The sequence below is a fragment of the Homo sapiens genome, chromosome 3, assembly GCF_000001405.40.
Source record: "Homo sapiens chromosome 3, GRCh38.p14 Primary Assembly".
Lineage (NCBI taxonomy): Eukaryota > Metazoa > Chordata > Mammalia > Primates > Hominidae > Homo > Homo sapiens.
Genome location: NC_000003.12, coordinates 149,312,589 through 149,334,411, shown reverse-complemented (window position 1 = coordinate 149,334,411; position 21,823 = coordinate 149,312,589). Strand labels below are relative to the sequence as shown.

General features: G+C 37.7%; 1 protein-coding gene and 1 long non-coding RNA gene across 3 annotated transcripts in view; one reads left to right on the top strand and one right to left on the bottom strand.

Annotated features, from left to right (window-relative positions):
• Positions 1-659: 659 nt before the first annotated feature.
• TM4SF18-AS1 (TM4SF18 antisense RNA 1) overlaps positions 660-21,823 on the bottom strand; it is a 48,974-nt gene continuing 27,810 nt past the window's right edge. The window contains exon 2 of the long non-coding RNA NR_186251.1: positions 660-908. This is a non-coding gene — a long non-coding RNA (TM4SF18 antisense RNA 1). The remainder of the gene's footprint in view (positions 909-21,823) is intronic.
• On the top strand, positions 776-15,914 carry TM4SF18 (transmembrane 4 L six family member 18). 2 transcript variants are annotated; one of them, NM_138786.4, is made up of 6 exons: positions 776-899; positions 1,013-1,206; positions 3,993-4,082; positions 9,390-9,532; positions 11,976-12,156; positions 12,920-15,914. In NM_138786.4, the coding sequence occupies exons 2-6, from the start codon at positions 1,030-1,032 to the stop codon at positions 12,932-12,934; spliced, it is 606 nt and encodes a 201-aa protein (NP_620141.1). In that variant the 5' UTR covers positions 776-899; positions 1,013-1,029; the 3' UTR covers positions 12,935-15,914. The 2 variants fall into 2 exon arrangements, with proteins under 2 accessions (NP_620141.1, NP_001171652.1); NM_001184723.2 differs by lacking the exon at positions 776-899 and having other exon boundaries at positions 974-1,206.

Sequence of the window (21,823 nt, the reverse complement as noted above, 5' to 3'; positions counted from 1 at the left end):
TTACTTTGTCACCCAGGCTGGAGTGCAGTGGAACGATCTCGGCTCACTGCAACCTCCGTCTCCCAGGTTCAAGTGATTTTCCTTCCTCAGCCTCCAGAGTAGCTGGGATTACAGGTGCCCAGCACTATGCCAGCTAATTTTTGTATTTTTAGTACAGATGGGGTTTCACCATGTTGGCCAGGCTGGTCTTGAACTCCTGACCTCAGATGATCCACCCGCCTCAGCCTCTCAAAGTGTTGAGATTACAGGCTTGAGCCATTGCGCCAGCCCTACCTTTGTTTTCTTAATAGTAGGAAAAATATGCCTTTATTTCTGTTATGATTTTTCAGAGAGGTAGAGATAATAGATGCAAACTCTTGGAAGGAAAGCTGTACTGATCTAACCAAGATATTTTGTTTTTCTCATCCACCAGTCACTTTCTCAGTCCTTTCTTATCCCTTGCAATTTGAACAAAGCTTGGTGAATAGTGTGCACACAAAAAGCACACTAGGTGAAAGACAGATACATAAAAAGGGTAAAGTCAGGATATTTTAACAAACCTATCAAGCTCTAAATATAAGCCTCCTTGGTAGTTTTCTCTTTAACCCTCTCTCCACTGTTGGATGAAATTTGCTGCATTCAATTCCAGTTCCCACCCCAACTTCCTTCTTAACACAAGGTCAGGGTTAAGCCTTCGGTGCTTTAATCCAGAGGAAAATTACTTATTTTAAAAAGCAGTGAAAAACACCGCATTCCTTTGGCACAGGATGAAGACCAGCTCAGCTCTTCAGTTGTTGATCATTGTCTATTGTTCTCCAAACAGTAAACCAGTATTTCACACTGAGATTGTCGGCTGCGGGTATATTCCAATTCCCCGTCTCCTCATGAATATGAAGTGAAGGGCTCTGACCCTGGAAGTGGTAGGTAATCTCAAAAAAAAAAAAAAAAAAGAGAGAGAGAGAGAAAAAAAAGGTCAGGTAGGAAGAAGAAAAATAGACTTTCTGTGACTGTATACTCTTGAAATCTCCCGCAGGTTCTAAGCAGGGCAAAATGGGGTCTCGGAAGTGTGGAGGCTGCCTAAGTTGTTTGCTGATTCCGCTTGCACTTTGGAGTATAATCGTGAACATATTATTGTATTTCCCGAATGGGCAAACTTCCTATGCATCCAGCAATAAACTCACCAACTACGTGTGGTATTTTGAAGGAATCTGTTTCTCAGGCATCATGGTAAGTATGAATTTGGAGACTTGGGAGAGAAGGGGGAGTTGTAATTGAGACTTACCTTGTAACTAGTAGAAGTAATGAATAATGGAAAAATCATTCTGCTAATCTTGGGTGTAGGATTTGAAAGAGGGATGGGGGTGAAGGGGCAGGTAATCTGCTGGCATTTGGGACATAGCTCTGTTTTCAATAAGCTGCTCAGCAATGCAGCCTCAGTAATGCAGGAAATTAGTCCTAATGAAAGTCTGTGGGACACTGGCCTGTAAAAACAGTATGTTCTCATGAACCCTGCATATCAATTTAAGCTATTTGATCTTCAGTGGCATTACTGTTTTCTAGAACAGATTTTCTGTCTGCACTCATGTTTTTCTAGCTTGAAGGGGCATTAGGACAGCATGAAAAAAAAGCAGAGACTTGGCTATTCAGACAAACCTGCATGTAAATCTAAGCTCTGTCATTTGTTCCATGAGACCTTCAGCAAGTTACTCAGTATCTTTGAGCCTCAGTGTTCTAATGTGAAAAATGTGAATAATGGCATTTACTTTTAAAGATAAAATATATATAAAGTGCCCAGGAGAGAGACTGACATGTAGTAGATAGCCAGTGACTGTTGTAATTATGATTATTAAAGAATGAGCTGTGTCATCATTAAAATAGTCCTACATTAGACCCTAATAATGGAGGGAGTTTTTGAAAAGTAAATTGAATTATCAATGGCAAGAATCCATGAACGTTTTCCTGATGACTTTGTGTTCTTTAAAAATAAACAAACTGAGAGTAAATCATGTTGGCAACTCAGAGGAAAAGACAATTTCCTGGTCAAGTCATTTCTAAAAATAGTGCATTATGGACTGTAAGCTAATCAGACCACCAATAATGTAGAAGAAAATTCATTATAATCTATTTCTACATCTTTTAGGGGTTTTTAATTATTATATTTGAATAGCTGTGTTGTAAAGCAATTTTCATTTAGTTATTCATTTTGCACATTAAATTAATAAACTTTAAAATATTAATATCCAATGCTATTGATGTTGCTATGAAATAAGTACATAACTAATATTGGCTGCACTACAAATAAATGTCAGTCTTTTCGGGAAGAGTTTGGTATAATATATCAAGATCCATGAAAATGCTTATGTCGTTTGACTCAGTAATCCTACATCTCATCATTTTTTCTGAGGAAATCATCCAAAATAAGGGAAGAGCTATGTGTGCAGATGTTTGTGGCTGCATTGGTATAATAGTAAATAACTAGAAGAAGCATCTTACAGAGAAGTAGCAAAATAAATTATGGTACATTCACTTCATACAGTGGTGAAAATTATAATTATGAAGATGTAACAACGTGGAAAATGCACATTATTTCATGTTAAGTGAAAAGAGACACAATAACATTGTGGGTAAATTACTATTGCAGCTGTGTCAAATAGACATATGTGGGAAAACACCAGAAATAAATGCATGAAGACTCACGAGGGTGGTGGAATTATGTGTACTTTACCTCCATTATTCTTGACTCCTCTGTATTGCAGTTATATTTTAAAACAAAAAAAGAAGGCAGTGTCTCTTTCAACAGTTGATGCCTGAGCAATAAGACTACAGGCTCTAGGTCAAATTATCTCTATCAATATTGTAATGAAGCTGGTTACTATGCTTTGGCCTTGTCTCATCATTGTTTCCCTCAATATGCAATTGCAATAGATGGAAGAGTTGCAAGACATAACTAAGATTAGACCAGAATTTCTTTCAATCTGTCATAACTAACGATGTGGAAAGGAGGGGAATATAGGACTCTTTTGCTTATATTCCATGTAAAAATTAAAACTAGGAAAAGAAACCTGTTCTCTATTTTTTTCATCTTCCAGGAATTATTAAAATATATTACTATAACTGCATCAAATCCTTTTAGGAGAAAGGAGAAGAATATAGGTAAATAATTAAATGAACAAAAAAATTAATGAAAGCTGAAGAAATTTGGAAACTAGAAACATTGGCTACGAAGAGTAAAATAACAGTGAACTCAGCTGTGGGATTCAGTCCTAAATAGTGAGAGTAAAAAAATGGGTGGAGAATTTCCCATAAGCAATTCATGATCTGTATCTAGTCTAACCAGAAATTATAATGAAATTATAATGGTAAAGAAATACATGTTCTTTCCAGAGCTCTGGCCTTTTGCCTAAAATAAAATTTAAAAAAAGGAAATAAGATGCATTGATTCTCCCACTTTGTTGGCTTGATACAGACAAAACACATTGAAACAATTTAAACCTGAGATGGTTTGAATGCATGGGGAAATTGAAGTCACTTTAAAGAGATATGGTTTCAGATTAACTGAGCCTCTCACCTCCATTCCCAGAGGACAGTAAATGAAGAGAGGCTGGCAAACTACCAAGCCTGCTGAATGATTTTCCTTGGTTCTCCACAACTGAGTCATTGAGAAAGGCAGGTTTTGCTGCCCAGGGTGGTATTCTCCTGTCCATCCATTTACTTCTCCTTAATCATTAGCTTTTGATGGTTGCTAACCATGATAATAATAGCTAACATTTATCAGTCACTATGAATCAACCACTATACTCAAAATGTCACATATATTACCTCGTGACGATCTCTTGATACCATTTTATACAGAAGGTGTCTCAAATTCACACAGCTAGAAAGTGACAGAGCTTGGATTCAAATCCATATCTACCTGACCCCAGACTCTATGCTTGAAGACGCTGTCCTCTGATTATAAGCACAAATGTAAACTAGCATTTCATTGCTAACATTTTATGTCTTCCCTCCTATAGATGCTTATAGTAACAACAGTTCTTCTGGTACTGGAGAATAATAACAACTATAAATGTTGCCAGAGTGAAAACTGCAGCAAAAAATATGTGGTAAGAGCAACAGTTTTTTTGAGGATGGTTGAGTGGGCTCCAGCTTTCTTTCCTCTCACTCAGAAACACAAAAATATTGACAGTATTATACCCTCACTACTGTTGAGTACAGTACAGAGATCAAGAGTTTACTGCCAAGATCATCTTCCATTTTGCTTAGTCTTTCCTCCACTTTTGTTCTACTGATGCACTTTCAGAAAATCAGCATTTAAAGATACCTAAAATTAGGAAATAATACTTTTTTTTCCTAACTAAGTTTCCATTAGTCTATTTTTTCTTTACAAACTTTATTGAGGGCTAAATTACATATAATAAGTGGCATCCATTAAAATTATGCAATATCATGAGTTTTAACAGTTGACTACACTCATGAAACCACCATTGCAGTCAAGATAACAGAATATTTCTGCCAACCCCCAAAGATTAACCTTTGATTTACTTTTTGTCATTATAGATTAGTTTGTATTTTATATATGTGGAATCATACAATATTTGTCTTTTTTATCTGGGTTTTTTCATCCAGGATAATAATTTTTAGATTCATCCATATTGTTGGGTGTATGTGATGTGCATTTTCTAAGTTGGCACTTGAAAAATAATTAAAATAGTATCAGGGTGAATAATACAACCGCATTTTCTAAGCCAGTGCTCCTGCATTTCTACCATTCTCCTTCTCATCCTCTTCCTCCTCTTCATCGTTTATTCACACTTGCATAGCACTTTATAGTTCTTTCACATTTACTCAGTGAATTAAGTCATTATTGCTCCTATTTTATAGATGAAGCACTTGTGGCTCAAAGAGAACAAGTGATTATTAGCTAGGAGGAGTTTTATGATGATATCTGGTAGGCATTTTTTGCAGCAGTGCTTCTACCTGTTAGCTTCATATTGCAATCACCTGGGAGCTTGGAACAACACTAATGCCTAAATCCCATCCCCAGAGTCCCTGATTTAGTTAGTCTGAGGTACAACCTGGGCATGGATATGTTTTAAATCTCCCCAGGATATTTCAATGCGTAGTCAAGATTGTATGGCAAATTTTCTTTGACCAATGTCTTTTAAAAATTAAATTCGTTGCTTTATTTAGTACTGTGTCCCTTATGGAGAAGAATTGAAAATTTAAAATACACTCGTGTGTGTGTGTGTGTGTGTGTGTGTGTGTGTGTGTGTGTGACCAGTTGACTCAGTCATCCTCCAGTAGCTACTTGTAATATACTTATGGAAGAGATTTCAAAATTGCCTAGGGGAAATAATAAATTCAGGTATAGATTCAAGTTATGATACTCAGAGAATTTCTAGAAAACAAATATATGTGATATTAAGTGTAAAATAAAAATTCACATGTTCAATTTGCCTTAACTCACTATTAGCACTTCTAGCACAAATAGATGCTAGAAATAGTCTGAAAAGGGTCTTATAATCAGCATTAAATTAGATGACTAACATCTCATTGGGAACAGCAGGAGAAAGAAAGAGAGGATTCTCCGGGTTCCCTTTTTGGCCTTTTCAAGGTAAGTTCTAGAAGAGAAGTCCCAATTCAAATGCCCCCAGAAGCCACGTGTGTGACATAAATGAATTAAATGAGCCTGGTAGGCATCAGAGCACAATTTCCATCTAAGGAGGAGAAGGAGCTGCTACTGAAGTCCAGCCAGTTGTTGCCATGATCAAGTAGGGCAATAATTCTCAGTTTTCAGTAGAAAGTAAAAATATGGATTTTTATGTAAAACTTTTCAATTGTAAAATATTGGCAATTAATCTTCATTTAAACCAAACAAAGTACATATTGTGGGAAAAACTGAATCTGCATCAGTTTGTAACTTCCAAAATGTAATAAAAATTGATTCATTTCTTGGTTGTTATCTGCTATGGCCTGAATGTGTTCCTCCAAAATTCACATGGAAACCTAATTCTCACTGTGGCGATATTAAGAGGTGGGATGTTTTTGGAAGTGACTAAGTTATGATGGCTCTTCCCTCATGAATGAGAGTGGTGCCCTTATAAAAGGGGTTGAGGGGAGTACTCTTACCTCCCTTGCACCATGCGAGGACACATAGAAGGTGCCATTTATGAGGAATGAGCCCTCACCAGACACTGAATCTGCCAGTGATCTTGGACTTTCCAGCCTCCAGAAGTGTGAATAATAAAATTCTGTTATTAATTACTCAGTCTAAGGTATTTTTATTATAGCAGCAGGAACTAAGGCACTCTCCATTCCTGCATGGAGTCTGGTTTTCTGCCAAAATTCTTGGACAATTATTCCTGGAAAGCAAATATTGGCCAAATAAGGGCACTTGAAATAATAGCTAATATTTTATTATATTTTATTTTTGAAATTGCCCTGTCACATAGGTACCATTCCTGTCTACATCATCTACAGTTTACAGAAAAGAAAACTATGATTCAAATTCTTATTCCCACTTTATTTTGAGGCTTACCTTGATAGTGCAATGGTATCCACTCATTAGATTGTAGTGTGTGCGTGTGCATGTGTGTGTATGCTATGGCTGCCAGTTTCCCCCAATGAAGAAATTCTTCACTGATCTTCCCAGTGAATATTTTTTCCAGTTTTCCATAAAGAGGATATATTAATGTCATACTCAGTGAAATAATTTTAAACAAAGAAATGTTATTGAGATGATTTTTATTCCTAAAATCACAGGTTTGTTGGTCTTACTTTTTCTGGTCTCAGCTTTTGAATTTATTATCAATTGGTTACTGCATGTTACTATTCTGCTGCCTACTCTCACCCTGCAATCAACATTTCTAAAGCTAATTTTTCCCCCAAACCAAATAACCTTTCTTGGTATCCTTATTTCTGTCTCCTTTTTATCCAAGCCCCAGCTCTGGATTTTTTTTTTTTTTTCATCTCCAGCTACTCATTTCCTCCTTAATGTGTTTTCCTCCAATGTGTGTCTTTGTCACCTCAACTTGCATCTGTCTCCAAGCTGGATCCTTATCTTTGAGGTCTCTTACTTCCAGCTTGTGTGACCACTGCCAGAGCAATCTTCCAAAAGCACATTTTGGGCATATCACTTCCTGCTCAAAAACCAATTACAAGACTTGTTTAAAAAATAGTTTCTGGCCGGACACAGCGGCTCATGCCTGTAATCCCAGCACTTTGGGAGGCCAAGGCAGGTGGATCCCCTGAGGTCAGGAGTTTGAGAGCAGCCTGGCCAACATGGTGAAACCCCATATCTACTAAAAATACAAAAATGAGCTAGGCGTGGCGGCACGTGCCTGTAGTCCCAGCTACTCAGGAGGCTGAGGCAGGAGAATCGTTTGAACCCAGGAGGTGGAGGTTGCAGTGAGCCATGATCAGGCCCTGCACTCCCGCCTGGGTGACAGAGTGAGACTACAACTCAAAAACAACAACAAAACAACAACAACAACAAAACCCCAGCTTCTTCCAGGTCTATGGCAGGGTAAGCTCAAAATGAACCTGGAACATCTTGTGCCAGAAAGCAAGAAAATGTTCAAAGAATGACATGAGTATGTCAAAGGGCATAGGAGTTGACCTACAGGGATGTTCACATTGGCCGAATTTGGACCATCTGTGCATCTAAAAGAATAATCGCATTTATGGATTATAGCACAATGAATTAGAAGATCTGTGAGTCCAGAAAATATAGACAGAGGCAAAGGAGAGAGGAATGGGAAATGGAAGTTGTTCTGTGCAGAAAAATGATAACATAAATGCAGATAAATTATAGCATTATGAAAGCAGCACATTGGAACCACAGTGATTGCTGGTAATCAATGAATATGAGGATCATCAGTGGATGCTAAATCCATCAGTTGAAATGTTATTAAGAAACAGAATATGACACTGTCTCAAAGCATCACCTTGGCAGTTATTTACTAATTGCCAAGAGGAAAATGTACCTATCCAGGGAAGAGATCTGAAGGATACTCTTAACCAAGAGATCAAACTTAGCACCACCCTTAGCATGAAAGGCCCACAATGTACACCACACCCATTAAGTATTCTCGCTAAAATGTTTGAATTCAATTGTGAGAAAATAATCAGAAAAGCCCAGAATGTGAGACATCTACAAGACAACTGTCAGGGATTCTTAAAAACAGTTTAACACCCCAAAAAACAAAAAGGCAGAAAGACTAGTGTAAATTAAAGGAAACTAAAGAGATGTAGTCTTGTACATAAACCTTTATTGGATCCTGTACAAAAAAAATTTAAAAGTTACAAAATAATAGAATGTTTTTATTCTTAGGAGGTGTATGCTGAAATATTTAGGGGTGAAATATCATAATGTCTGCAACCTAATGGCTCAGTAACAAAAACACATAATAAATACATATTTGTATATATGTACAGGTGTACATATATACTTTGCATGAATATATACACACATACACACAGAGAAAGAGAGAAAGCACAAACAAATATGGTAAAATATTCATGTAGGTGATTCTAGATAAAGGATATGTAGGGGTTTATTGTGCTATACTTTCAACTTTTTTGTAGATTTGACATTTTTTAAGGTTGGGAGGAGGGAAGTCCCTTGCCCTGAAGGATAAAGTCCAGATTTCTTAACCTGGCATTCAAGGCCAGCTCTGGCCTGGATCTACCAAGCTGTACTCACTTTTTAAGCTACTCAAGGGCTGAATTGTGCCCTATCAACCTTGTTTTCCCAGCATTAGTACCATGTCAATCTGTCTTCAGAGCCTTTCTCCTCACTCATCTGAATAAACCCCTCTTAGATTAAACCTACTTTCTCACAACTCTGGTTGCACTGATCTGCCTGTGAATAACACCCATTCTCTCTACTCAAATGAAAACACCCCCCTCTCCATCAATCCTATCGTCACTTGAATATGAATATAAATTTCAATACTATACCTGACATTTTCCTTTATATTGTTGTAAAGATATTTTAATATCTTTATAAGAGGAAAGCAGAGGTCATAGCTTATAATTCTTAGAGAACCCACTCTACCTAGAAAATAACAGGTCTTCAATAGATAGTTATGGGTTGATTGATCACATCCTTCACTGCATTTTCATAAGAGGAGATCATTATTTTGATATCAAAATTCCACAAGGAAAGAATAAATTTAGTAAATTACCTAGTTACCTCTATGTGATGCCAAACTAAACGTTATTTAAAAGCTTATTTTTAAGATCAAATAGGTTTGGATTACTTTTTTTTTTATTTCTATGTGGGCATTTAGTATTGTATAGACTGCATGAGCTTGGGTGAATAGGGGAATGTAGCTATCTGATAATTTATCCACAATATCCCCTTGTCGCATTCTATGGTACTAACCTGCTTCTATGTTTTAATTTAGACACTGCTGTCAATTATCTTTTCTTCCCTCGGAATTGCTTTTTCTGGATACTGCCTGGTCATCTCTGCCTTGGGTCTTGTCCAAGGGCCATATTGCCGCACCCTTGATGGCTGGGAGTATGCTTTTGAAGGCACTGCTGGACGGTAAGGAATAATTCCCCAAACCAAGGAGGTCGGAAAATCAGAAACACCTTGCCTCATGCTCAAGCTCACGCTCATTTTCCATGATCACTTTGGGGTTCCATGTGGCTGTTTTAGTGCAGAATTTCCCTGTTAGTTTACTAATATCCAGACCAATTTGTTCTTGCACAGATCTTTGTTTAGATTTTTTTCTTCAGTCTTTTAATGCCATTTTCATTCAATGTCTTGAGGTTGTCATGGAGCTATCCAAATGAAAGGTGTGTTTCTCCCATACCTCAGATTAAAGTTGTGTGGTTACTATGGTCTGGTCTGGTAACAGCTGGAGCTTATGGACTGGGTGGATCCAGGAACTCAGTTTTGTTTTATGGCCAGGTTGGACATGTGGTCTGTTACAAGTGTAAAAGGGCTTGAGGAGGAGAGAAACCATGGTGCTCTTGGATGGTGCCACTCAGGGCTATAGTAGGAGGGATGATAAAGAGATAGAACAAGGCAGGATGAGCAGGAAAGTACAGTCTGAGGTCCAGGAACATGATTAGGTGCAGGAGTTTGTGGAATGAGCCAGAGCTTATGCAGCTTATACTGGAGAAGGGTCTAAAGAGGTAGCCTTGCTCAGAAGGCTAGTAATTCAGTCAGGAGTCTCACAACCCAATCCCGGATCTCAGAATGCCTCACACTGGCATTGTGCTGGGCTTATTGGGTTCCCAGCACCAGATGCAGATTAGGAGGTAGCAGGGCCCAGAAAGAAATACAGAAGAGGTCCAGAATTCTAATGGAGTAAAATGAGGGAATGTCTGTACCATTCACTGGGGGAAGTTAAATTTTCTTCTCAACTCTCCATGATTAGCTTTATTGTTCAAGGCCCATGTCCATCTGAGGTCTTACATGTGCATCTAGGCCTACATGGCAGAGCTGCTTCTGTGACTGTAGCTGCCTTCATTCTGAAGATTTTTACATGGTGCCATATACCATGACCTTTCTTAGCAAACATGACTCTCCCTCAGGTCTCTCCTACTTGCATATCCATTTATAGGCTCTCTGCAAGAAGAAAAATATGGCTCTTTTTGCCCAACCCCACAGGCAGTCAGACCTTATGGTTGTCTTCCCTTGTTCCCTAAAAATCTCTGTTATTCTGCTCTTTTTCAATGTGCACTGATTTCATATTGTTCAAACCACATGTTTTACAATCAATTTGTACAGTTAACACAATTATCACAGTGGTCCTGAGGTGGTGTACATCCTCAACTTATGAAGATAACAGGATTAAGAGATTAGAGTAAAAACAGGCATAAGAAATTATAAAAGTATTATTTGGGAACTGATAAATGTCCATGAAATCTTCACAATTCATGTTTCTCTGCCGCGGCTCCAGCCAGTCCCACCATTTGGGGTCCCCGACTTCCTGCAACATTGCAAGTCATCTTGTTTTAAATTGCTAGATGATCTGTGCAGAGCATGTACTAGGAACAGTCTAGAGGAGGGATCTGGAGGGACTCATTTCCCTGGCAGCTGAGATGGAGATAGGGGTAAATGGGGGTATGAGATAGGTTTAGGGAAATTTAACAGAAAGCCACATCTGTATTGTACTTTACAGGTTCCAAACTGTTTGTATACACATTCTTACCAAATATTCACAATAACTCTGGGGTTAGATATTTTAACCCCATTATCAAGATAAGAGTCTGGAGGGCCAGGCGCGGTGGCTCATGCCTGTAATCCCAGCACTTTGGGAGGGTGAGGCAGGCAGATCATGAGGTCAGGAGATCGAGACCATCCTGGCTCACACGGTGAAACCCCGTCTCTACTAAAAAAATACAAAAAATTAGCCGGGCGTGGTGGCGGGTGCCTGTAGCTACTTGGGAGGCTGAGGCAGGAGAATGGCGTGAACCAGGGAGGCGGAGCTTGCAGTGAGCGAAGATGCGCCACTGCACTCCAGCCTGGGCGACAGAGCAAGACTCCGTCTCAAAAAAAAAAAAAAAAGTCTGGAGGCCAGAGGGGTAAAGTTCTTTGCTCAACATCCTGCAGACCCAAATCCAGGAATTCTGATTTCATATTCTGTGCTCTTTCCCATTGGAGACAAGAGCCATTAACAATATAAAGAAATTCTCAGAGTGCCTCTATTTCCTGGAGCATTAGAAAGTAGAAAATAAATAAAGGTGGGGAAAGAGTAAAAAAGAAGGAAGTAGGAAAGAAATGGAAGAGGGAGAAAGAAAAACAAAGAGGCCATGGGGGTGATAAGGCAAGCACAACATTTATAACACACTAAGTATCTAGCTCAGTGCTATGCATAAGATATGTCCAATATGTGTATCTGAATGGTTTTTAAAATGTATTAATTCATATCTAATAACTATATATTTTAGTTATACAGTAATTTCTCAAACATACAAATGCTTGTAGCTTTCTTCCTTGGACCCAGTATGTAGATTTGGCCATGGGTCTCTCTCAGTTTCCTTACAGATTCTAGCATATGGATTCAGTGCCTGGAACCTGCACATGTTGTGGAGTGGAACATCATTTTATTTTCCATTCTCATAACCCTCAGTGGGCTTCAAGTGATCATCTGCCTCATCAGAGTAGTCATGCAACTATCCAAGATACTGTGTGGAAGCTATTCAGTGATCTTCCAGGTAACAGATTCTCATGGGCACCTGTAGCTCATCCATATTTCCCCCACTTCCCAGGATTCAATGAGGCTTTTTGAAAAGACTCTAGAATTCCATCACTTTCCCCCCATTTCTATTGCCCTCATCTTTATTCAAGCTCTAATATCTCAATTTTTTCTGATATCCCAATGTGTCTTGGCTTATCTATAAGGGTTGAATCAACTCAGTAATTGTAAAATCTGCATTTCTTGTTGTATGGTAAGGCTTCATAAGTGTTTTGAATGAGCAAAGTTTTAGTGTTCTACATAGAGATAACTCAAAGCATGATGAAATTTTACCATTTATCAAGAATTTCCCTGTTCATAAGTTAAGCAAAGGCTCAGAACCTTATCTCATTGAAATAACTTCTCTTCTGAATGCTGCTACATTCAACTAATGAACCTTTATCTCGAGTGCATAGGAGTGCTTTTGAAGAAGAAGGGAAATATGTATTTATCCCATTGAAACTACTTCTACTTCGTCTGCTAAAATACTAATGTTAATTTAGTTATGGTTGAAACTGCTATCAAGAAGTCCAGAGTGAAGAAAAATTATGAATTTAGATGGCTTGTATTTTGTTTAACAACAGAATGTGTAATACCTTTCCTAGCAATTTCTAAGAGATGTTTTTTCTGTTCTATCATATTTTGAATATGAAATATAAGTTTAAGTTGCTATCTGGATTACGGATTACTAATCAAGCCAAGTTTATAACTTTAATCACTTTGTTTTTCCTTTTTTCCTATAGCCTGGAATCATTTGAATAAGGACAAAATGTTTTCCATTATCAAGACATGGCCATCTATCTAAATATTATATCAACTGTGTAGACTTGAGGGCAATATTGAAATGATGGTGCTTTCTGCATTTGGTGTTTATTTGTAAAAAATTTGCAGTCCTCACTGCACATGCAAGTATACCACCCTTCCATTTAGTATGTTTTTTAAGTAATATGCATCAGAAACTTCAGAAATACTTCTGCCCTTTGATCAAACAAATCCATTTCCAAGAATCTGTACTAGGGAAGTAAATAAGAATATGAGAGAAACCTTTATGCAAATATGTATATTGCAACATTATTTAATATTCTGGAAAATTGGAAACACCCCAAAATTCTAAACTCAGAGGAAGGATTAAGTAAAGAGTGGTACATACTGTAAATGTTTTCTGATATTAAAAAAAAAATTAAATAAAAAATAAAGAGTACTACATGGTTGTAAAATTACAGTCATTACAAATGATGTTTTTAAAATTATGAATAATGCTACATCAAAAAGCAGGTTACAAATTCATGTTTACTATATAACTATTTAAAGCAAATGAAACACTAATAGTCAAAGTTTAGGATGAAAACTAAATCTAAAAGGAAATATAACAAAATGCCAATTATGCTTGGTTTGGGGCATTGATGACCCTTCTTCCCACTTTTCTATATTTTCCAAGATTTCTTTATTGAATATGTTTTACTATAAATATTTTCTAAACTCATATTTTCACTATTAAAATTTTTTTATTTTTCCAAACTTTAAGGCATATGCTCTTTCCACATTCCTCAACATTATTTGCAAACATCATGAAATGACACTTCCATCAACATTCAATGAGGAAAGTAGTGATATAGATGAGCCAAAAAGAGTTTTATATAAACTTATACAATCTAAACTCTTGCTCTTCCTTTCTGACTCCTGAGGGTGAGTGTGATGGACTAGAAGAGGTAGCCTTAAAATAAGTGAGCAGCTAGGGAACATGCTCAATGGGCAAGAGAAAATGACCACTGACCAGTCAATACCTGTGTCAGGGGGAGTTACCAGTACCTATATTTATTTTTAAAGTAATTAAAAAGTAGAACACTTACAAATTTTCCACCTATACATGCCATGTCTTCCTCGGGGACAGTAGCCACATCTTATATATTTCCCACCATGCATAGGACCCAGCACACAGTGAAGCCAGTAGGCACTCAGTGTTGAATGCTCATACCAGGTTTTCTGCTTCCTGTAGTTACCCTGCTGAGCACTGCTTCCATCACAGGTGCACTGGGCCTCAACACTTCTGCCATTTCCCCATTTGTCTCCTCCATGGACACTGTCAACAATGGTCTGTCAACACCTGCTCTGTGCCAAAGCCAGGGAGTAGGCTGGGGGGATACGGAAGAGAATATCTTTCTCCTTGATGCCTGCTGTGCCAACAGCCCCCTTTAAGCCTTGTTCACAGCCTTTGCTGAAACAAGCATCTTGAAAGCAAGCCATGTTATACACCGCATGACCTTCATGCTCTGGGCCCAGCTGACTGAACTGGGGCAGGCCCCAGAGTCATGGGCAGCCTATTGTCTTGCTAATGGCCTCTGACTTAGCCTGGAGTAAAACACTGTCCAAACAAGACTGGTGGTTATTCAAGCATAAGAATTTGAACTAGGAAGCCAAGAATGAAGCAACCGGACCATTACCATCAAAAAATGATTAAAGGATGAAGAAGGAAGCCAACATTCAGAGAGTATCTGGTTCATGTTAATAATGGTATCATATTAAAAGGAAGATACATGAACTTCTACTCCAAAAGCTCCTAAAACTGCCTTTGCCCACAATGAACAGTGTACCCTAGGCCTGGTTTCTGTTCTTGGATTCCTAGATAGTCTTTCTTCTTTGTCACTGTGCTGATCATTTCAGTAAACCCCCGACTAAATCAGTGCAGCTCTGTTTATTGCAACTAAAACGATCCAAATGAAGTCTCCCTTTTCTAGATGTTGGGTTGGAGGGATGCTAAGACAAAGATGCTTAGGCTCCAGAGTTTTACAGAGCTTCATTCAATAACACTCTACTTTCCAAAGAACTTAAATATGAGGTCTGAAGGACTTGGACCAAGAGGCAAACCCAAGCTACAGACACCATGTTGTACTCAGAGTGACCTCTCCCCTCTGACAGCCCAGGATTTCTCTATCAAGTCCATAAGCTAGTCATATCTAGGACCATCTTGTTAAAAATTCTCTCAAAGTCTCCTCAGCCCTCTTGTAAACAGACTTCTGGAAGGTCCACTTCATCAGTTTGTTATATACTTTCAGACTGTCTATCTCTTGTTTAGATTCAGCATGGCACCGTACGTTGAATGGACTGTTAATAGATGTTTGCTGAATGACTCCACCACAGCATTGGACACATCAGGGGTACAGCCAAATGCAGCATGATACCTCTATCAGGAAAATTAAATTTTAACACAGCCACCAAATATTCTATATTTGAAGAGTATATGCTAATCATGCAATTTTAAGTAAAAAAAAGCTGAATACAAAAAAAGCTGAATATGTGTTTTATATCCTCGTGAATTCAAAGTAAAAAGGAAAAAAAACTCAAAAACCAAATATATGTATGCAGTTTGAGCCCAAATTTTTAATTAAGTAACCATATAATTACATGTAGACATGTATAAACCTTGAGATATGTAAAGACCAGAAAAATATTTAAAAGTTAATAGTTACATCATCTGTGGTCACAACACCCTGAAAATGCCTAATATTGGAAACTTAAGCAGGATTGATCCAGGTTATTACTTGGATGGGAGACCAGATGCTATAGGCTGAAAAAAGAAAGCATAAGTACGCACAAGTTAATACTTAATAATTATCTCCTAATGATAGGACTATAAGTTCTATCTCTTTTCTTTACATTGTTCAGTATTTTCAAATTTCCCTTTGAAAATGTGTTATGTACTTGAATTATTAGAAAAAATAAATGTCATTTAAAAAGCAATGGTCCTCTAATTCTTTCTGTAAAATTCATTTAAGGAGTTAAAATAGAAAATATATATAGGTATGTATATGACTGGCCTTCTCTTACCCTTTCCAGAAATAATCTTTCCACTTTTTAATTCTGAGAGTATTATGAGCTAATCCTGATTGAGAATGATTTATGTTTTATGCATTTCTGCACTTATTATTTATCTACTGTTCTCCTTGCTTCTATCTCATTGTTATTTTCCTAACTTCTTAAATAGAATACCTAGCTTATTGATTTTCTAACTTTCTTTTTTTCTTAAAATAAGCACTTAAGACTAGACATTCTTTAATTACCACTTTGGCTGAATCTCACAAGTTTTAAAATGTTGCATTTTCCTTGTTTGGTTATAAATATTTTCTAGTTTTCTTTATGATTTATTTTTTGATCCATGAGATTTTTAATGTGCTTTAAAATTTCCAAGTATATGGCTGGGCGCAGTGGCTCATGCCTGTAATCCTAGCACTTTGGGAAGCCGAGGAGGGCAGATCACAAGGTCAGGAGTTCGAGACCAGCCTGGCCAACATAGTGAAACCTTGTCTCTACCAAAAATACAAAAAAATTAGCCGGGCATGGTAGTGGGTGCCTGTAATCCCAGCTACTCGGGAGGCTGAGGCGGGAGAATCGCTTGAACCCTGGAGGCGGAGGTTGCAGTGAGCCAAGATTGTGCCACTGCACTCCAGCCCGGATGACAGTGTGAGACTCCATCTCAAAACAAACAAACAAACAAACAAACAAACAAACAAACAAAAACTTTCCAAGCATATGAGTTTATGTTATATTTTTATGATTTGAACTCAATTGTATTATGATCGTAGAAAGTGGTCTGTGTGATTCCGATAATTTGAAAGTTTTTAAGATTTCTTTTATGATTACTTTTTGTAAATGTTCTATGTGCTGTAAAAGTATATGTTTTCTCCAAATATTGAGGGCGGAATTCTATATGCATACTAAAATTAGGTCAAGTTGTTAATTTTGTTCAGGTCTTCAATATTCTGTTTGGTTGTTTGCTTGATTTAGGGTTGCCGTGAGGATTAAATGAATATATAGAGAGAGTAATTTTATACTTTTATTGATATACATATCAGAAAACAGTATTTGGCCATGGATATGATTTATAAGTGGCCTATAGCACAGTGGAATAAAGATGTACTTTGGAGTCAAGTTGCTTGGGTTCAAATCTGGGCTCTGCCTTATTAGGTGTGTGACTTTGGTCAAGTTTACTTAACCTCTGTGTGCAACAGTTTCTGAGTCTGTAAAACAGGAATAATAATAGGGTTGTTGTGAAGATTAATTGAGTTCAAACATGTAAAGTTCTTAGTGCCTGGTTGACTTAAATCAGAACCCAGGTGCAGTTGGAGCAGATTTGGGATGGTGGGGACATGGAAATGCCACAAAAACAACAGAAAGGGAAGGGGATGGAGAAAGGTCATAGGGTTACAGGGACAGCAAAGGGTCAGCCATTTTGGGAGAGAAAGAAGGTGAAGGTAGGTAGGCATTGTTAGGCTAGACAAAGTGCACAAGAAGCCAGCACTGCCTTACCTTTTGTCACATGCTTGGAGACTGTGAGCTTAACAGACATCATATTCAGATTCCTAAAACCCCTGCCTCTGGCCTATACATTTCCATCCCTTTGGAAAGCTATAAGGAATAGGGGCAATCCATGGTTACTACTGTGAAAATCATAACTATTTGTATTCAGAAACAATCCTGCTAGCTCTCCTTCCTGCTTTGTGAGATGAAGCTGAAAATTAAGGACAAGATTCCAGTTCTAGAAGAACCGAGATATATGGCAGGAAATTAAGTTAACGAGTCATGCTTGAGTGTGTGCAACTGGACAGGCAGGGCAAGATACACAAACCTGGCCACTGAAATCTTTTTACTTTAGAAAGAGCACTGGGTGTGGTGCCTGGCTACCCAGGTCAGAGATCACCCCATGCCTAGTCAGTCCAAGGAACTTAATCAATTCAGATAAAATGCTTTATCTGGGTTAAGATGAAAACACACACACACACACACACACAAATTTCACTGCTGCCTAAAATCACACTAAATTTACAATAAAAGTTTTTTTTAAGACATAAAACCACAAATATGGGGAGATTAGGAGAGGTGGCAAAAGCAATAAAATTTTGGAAGCTACAAAACATATTGATGACAGGTAACTGATCAAACCAACCCAAGAAACATGAGAATCCTGAGCTGTCAGTGGGGGAAGCTGAAGACTAACCTGATTTATACTTCAGAATTTTCCAGAGACTCCCAAATTGATAGTATCAGAGCCCTCTGGACCTGGAAGTGAAGGAAGACCATTAAAACAGGAATTCTGTGAGTCCCTGCATCTTTTCTCCTCTCCATGCCACTGGGAAGTGACTGGCATCTGAAAATTCTCTGGGCAGGGTAAAATAGACGGTCTTCTCTGAGTTGAAGGAAACTAGATTCACTAAAGATATGAATATAAACCCCAAAATCAGAAGAATTAAGTAACTGGTATATCCTGAAGGATGAATGCTGAGGCACTCCTCCCACAAAGCCCTCTTAACCCACTCAGATCTCAGAACGCTGGTGGCCAGTCAGAGTTTGACCTTCCCAGCTGGAGACTCTCTAGCAAGTCTGGCCAGTATGAGGGAAAATTTTAGATATTAGCTGTAGTAGGCTAAATAACAGCCCCGACAAAATGCCATATCCTAATCCATGGGACCTGTGAATATGTTACACAGGAAAGGATGGAAATGGATTTTGCAGTTGTGATTAAGTTAAGGATCTTAAAATGGGGGGGTGGGAGGGTTCCTGGATTTTCCAGGGGAGCCCAGTGTAATCATACAGTCCATATAGAGGGAGGTAACAGTATTAGATTCAGAGAGAAAAGATGTAAAGATGGAAGTAGGAATCAGAGAAGACAGAAGTTACTACACTGCTGGCATTGAACATGAAGGAAGGGGCACTAACCAAGGAGTGCGTGGCCTCTAGTAACTGGAAAAGACAAGGAAACAGATTCTCACCCTAGAGCTGCCAGAAGAACACAAGCCTGCCAACACCTTTTTTTTAGTCCAGTGAAACTGATTCTGGATTTTTGCTCTTTAGAACTGCAGATACTGCAGATAATAAAGTTGTGTTGTTTGGTCACTAAGTCTGTGGTTATTTTTCACAGAAGCAGAAAGAAACGAATATCTTGGCATTTGAAATTCCTCAGTCAATGATTCACCCAATTCGCACACAGTGAAATTCAGAGGAAATAAGCTCAAAGCTCACTCTGAGTTTCCAAGCAGCACTTTTCTTGACTCATTAATACAAGTAAATAGTCAAGTGTCCTAGACATCTGATGAAAGTCTCTTACATGAAAGATAGAGAGCAAATACGTTTTTATTTTTTAAATTTATTTTCCATTTGAGTTTTAGATCGGGGGTATATGTGCAGGTTTGTTATAATGGTATATTGCATGATGCTGAGGGTGAGGCTGCTATTGATTCCATTACCCAGTTAGTGAACATAGTACCCAACAGGAAGTTTTGCAGCCCTTGCCCCACTCCCTTCCTCCCTCCTTCTGGAGTCCTCAGTGTCTGTTTCCATCTTTATGTCCGAGTGAACCAAAGATTTAGCTCTCACTTATAAGTGAGAACATGCAATATTTGTTTTTCTGTTTCTGCATTAATTCGCTTAGGATAATGGCCTCCAGTTGCATTCATCTTGCTGCAAATGACATGAAATCATTTTTTTAATGGCTGCATAGTATTTCATGGTATATATGTGCAACAGTTTCTTTATCCACTCTCCCATTGATGAATTTTTAGGATAATTCCATGTCTTTGTTATTGTAAATAGTGCTGCAATGAATATACATGTGCACATGTCTTTTTTGTAGAACAATTTATTTTCCTTTGGGTATATACTCAGTAACGGGATTGCTGGGTCAAATGGTAGTTCTATTCTTAGTTTTTTGAGAAATCTCCTAACTGCTTTCCACAAGGGCTGAACTAATTTGCATTCCCACCAACAATGTATAAGCATTCCCTTTTCTCTGTAACCTCACCAACATCCATTATTTTTTGACTTTTTAATAATAGCCATTCTGACTAGTGTGAGATGATATCTCATTGTGGTTTTGATTTGCATCTCTCTGATGATTAGTGATGTTGAGCATTTTTTCATATGTTTGTTGGCCACTTGTATGTCTTATTTTGAGAAGTGTCTGATCATGTTCTTTGACCACTTTTAAATGAGGTTTTTGGTTTTTTCTTGTTGATTCATTTAAGTTTCTAATAGATTCTGGATATTAGATCTTTGCCAGATGCGTAGTTTGAAAATATTTTCTCCCATTCTGTAGGTTGTCTGTTTACACTGTTGATAGTTTCTTTTGCTGTGCAGAAGCTCTTCGTTTAATTAAGTCCCATTTGTCTATTTTTTATTTTGTTGCACTTGCTTTAAGGGTCTTCATCATAAATTATTTGCGTAGGCCAATGTCTAAAAGAGCATTTCCTAGGTTTAATTTTATAATTTTTATAGTTTCAGGTCTTACATTTAAGTCTTTAATCCATTTTGAGTTAATTTTTGTATGTAGTGACAGATAAGGGTCCAGTTTTATTCTTCTGCACATGGTTAGCCAGTTATCCCAGCAGCATTTATTGAATAGGGTGTCCCTTCTGGATTGTTTATTTTTGTCAACTTTGTCAAAGATCAGTTGGTTGTAGGGGTGTGGCTTTATTTCAGGGGTCGCTATTCTGGTCCATTGGTCTATGTGTCTATTTTTGTACCAGTACCATGATGTTTTATTAATAGTTACTGTAGCCTTGTATTACAGTTTGAACTGGCTTTGTTATTTTTGTCTAGGATTGCTTTGACTATTTGGGCTCTTTTTGGGTTACATACAAATTTTAAAATAGTTTTTCTAATTTTGTGAAAAATGACACTGGTTATTTGATAGGAAAAGTGTTGAATCTGTAGATTGCTTTGGGCAGTATGGAAATTTTAACAATATTGATTCTCTCAACCCATGAGCATGGAATGATTTTCCATTTCTTTGTGTCATCTATTATTTCTTTCATCAGTGTTTTCTAGTTTTCCTCATAGACGTAGTTCACCTCTTTGGTTAGATGTATTTCCAGGTTATTTTGTGTGTGTGTGTGGCTATTGTAAATGGAATTGCATTCTTGATTTTGTTCTCAGCTTGAATGTTATCAGTGTACAGAAATGCTACTGATTTTTGTACATTGATTTTTGTGTCCACAGACTTTCCTGGATTTGTTTACCAGGCCTAGGAGCCGTTTGGTGGAATCTTTTGGATTTTCTAGGTATAGATCATATCTCAGCAAAGAGGGGGGTCATTTAATTTCCTCATTTTCTATTTGGATGCCTTTTATTTATTTTGCCTGATTGTTCTGGTTAGGACTTCCATTACTATGTTGAACAGGAGTAGTGAGAGTCGGTACCTTGTTCCAGTTCTTAGGGGGAAGGCTTCCAGCTTTTTCCCATTCAGTATGATGTCGGCTGTGTGTTTGTCATAGATGGCTCTTATTACTTTAAGGCATGTTTTTTTTTTTGTTTTGTTTTGTTTTGTTTTTTTTTTTTGAGACGGAGTCTCGCTCTGTCGCCCAGGCTGGAGTTAAGGCATGCTCTTTTGATACCTAGTTTGTTGAGGGTTTTTATCATGAAGGGATGTTGGACTTTATTGAATGTTTTTCTGCATCATTGAGATGATCATATGGTTTTTGTTTTTAATTCTGTGTATGTGGTAAATTACATTTATTGATTTGTATATGTTGAATCTTACACCCCAGGAATAAAGCCCACTTGAAATAACTTTTTGATGTGCTGCTGGATTTGGTTTGCTAGTATTTTGTTGAAGATTTTTGCATCTATGTTCATCAGGGATATTGGTCTGTCATTTT

Excerpts from the sequence above, each read along its gene's own strand:
- TM4SF18 (NM_138786.4), top strand. The coding sequence starts at position 1,030 with ATGGGGTCTCGGAAGTGTGGAGGCTGCCTAAGTTGTTTGCTGATTCCG. Across the intron at positions 4,083-9,389 it reads ACTGCAGCAAAAAATATGTG|ACACTGCTGTCAATTATCTT; the intron begins GTAAGAGCAACA and ends GTTTTAATTTAG. Across the intron at positions 9,533-11,975 it reads TTTGAAGGCACTGCTGGACG|TTTCCTTACAGATTCTAGCA; the intron begins GTAAGGAATAAT and ends GGTCTCTCTCAG.